The 1,818-nt window shown below is 59.8% G+C and overlaps 1 annotated feature.

Annotated features, from left to right (window-relative positions):
* Window positions 726-1,606: an enhancer, noted in NCBI's record as "H3K27ac hESC enhancer chr16:28459200-28460080 (GRCh37/hg19 assembly coordinates)". NCBI's record gives its function as "activates a minimal SCP1, AML or CMV promoter by ChIP-STARR-seq in primed H9 embryonic stem cells {active_cell/tissue: H9 hESC(primed)}" and the evidence as "EXISTENCE:reporter gene assay evidence [ECO:0000049][PMID:30033119]".

The following is a 1,818-nucleotide window of genomic DNA, read 5'->3' as shown; positions in this document are numbered from 1 at the left end:
TAAACAAGTGAACAAAGGTCTCTGGTTTTCCTAGGCAGAGGACCCTGCGGCCTTCCGCAGTGTTTGTGTCCCTGGGTACTTGAGATTAGGGAGTGGTGATGACTCTTAACGAGCATGCTGCCTTCAAGCATCTGTTTAACAAAGCACATCTTGCACCACCCTTAATCCGTTTAACCCTGAGTGGACACAGCACATGTTTCAGAGAGCACAGGGTTGGGGTAAGGTCACAGATCAACAGGATCCCAAGGCAGAAGAATTTTTCTTACTACAGAACAAAATGAAAAGTCTCCCATGTCTACTTCCTTCTACACAGACACGGCAACCATCCGATTTCTCAATCTTTTCCCCACCTTTCCCCCCTTTCTATTACACAAAACCGCCACTGTCATCATGGCCCGTTCTCAATGAGCTGTTGGGCACACCTCCCAGCCGGGGTGGCGGCCGGGCAGAGGGGCTCCTCACTTCCCAGTAGGGGTGGCCGGGCAGAGTCGCCCCTCACCTCCCGGACAGGGCGGCTGGCCGGGTTGGGGGCTGACCCCCCCACCTCCCTCCCGGGTGGGGCGGCTGGTTGGGCGGGGGACTGATCCCCCCACCTCCCTCCCGGGTGGGGCGGCTGGCCGGGCGGGGGGGCTGACTCCCCCACCTCCCTCCCGGACGGGGCGGCTGGCCGGGCGGGGGGGCTGACCCCCACCTCCCTCCCGGACGGGGTGGCTGCCGGGCGGAGACACTCTTCACTTCCCAGACGGGGTGGCTGCCGGGCGGAGGGGCTCCTCACTTCTCAGACGAGGCGGCTGCCGGGCGGAGGGGCTCCTCACTTCTCAGACGGGGCGGTCGCCAGGCAGAGGGTCTCCTCACTTCTCAGACGCTCCTCACCTCCCAGACGGGGTCGCGGCCGGGCAGAGGCACTCCCCACATCTCAGACGATGGGCAGCCTGGCAGAGACACTCCTCACCTACCAGATGGGATGGCGGCCGGGAAGAGGCGCTCCTCACTTCCTAGATGGGATGGCGGCCGGGCAGAGAGGCTCCTCACTTTCCAGACTGGGCAGCCAGGCAGAGGGGCTCCTCACATCCCAGATGATGGGCGGCCAGGCAGAGACGCTCCTCACTTCCCAGACGGGGTGGCGGCCGGGCAGAGGCTGCAATCTCGGCACTTTGGGAGGCCAAGGCAGGCGGTTGAGAGGTGGAGGTTGTAGCGAGCCGAGATCATGCCACTGCACTCCAGCCTGGGCACCATTGAGCACTGAGTGAACGAGACTCCGTCTGCAATCCCAGCACCTCGGGAGGCCGAGGCTGGCGGATCACTAGCGGTCAGGAGCTGGAGACCAGCCCGGCCAACACGGCGAAACCCCGTCTCCACCAAAAAACACAGACGGCGCGTGCCTGCAATCCCAGGCACTTGGCAGGCTGAGGCAGGAGAATGAGGCAGGGAGGTTGCAGTGAGCCGAGATGGTGGCAGTACAGTCCAGCCTCGGCTCGGCATCAGAGGGAGACTGTGGAAAGTGAGAGAGGAAGGGGGAGGGGGAGGGAGAGGACAAAAAATTAAAATTTAGCCGGACATGGTTGTGTGTGCCAGTAGTCCAAGCTGCTGGGGAGACTGAGGCAGGAGGATCACTTGAGCCCAGGAACTTAAGGTCTATTTAAGTAAAGGGTACAGTGAGCTGTGATTATACCACTGCACTCCAGCCTGGGGAATAGAGCAAGACCCTGTCTCTAAAAAAAGGTAACAAAATAACATGAATGGATTCCATTTTAAGAGAATGAAGCATCATTGTGTAAGACTATGAAATTGGAAGCAAAGAGCATGAAGCCCAAAAAA

Source organism: Homo sapiens, chromosome 16 (genome assembly GCF_000001405.40).
Source record: "Homo sapiens chromosome 16, GRCh38.p14 Primary Assembly".
In the NCBI taxonomy this organism is placed as follows: domain Eukaryota; kingdom Metazoa; phylum Chordata; class Mammalia; order Primates; family Hominidae; genus Homo; species Homo sapiens.
The sequence above is the reverse complement of the archived record's forward strand: the minus strand, read 5'-3'. Positions and strand labels throughout refer to the sequence as shown.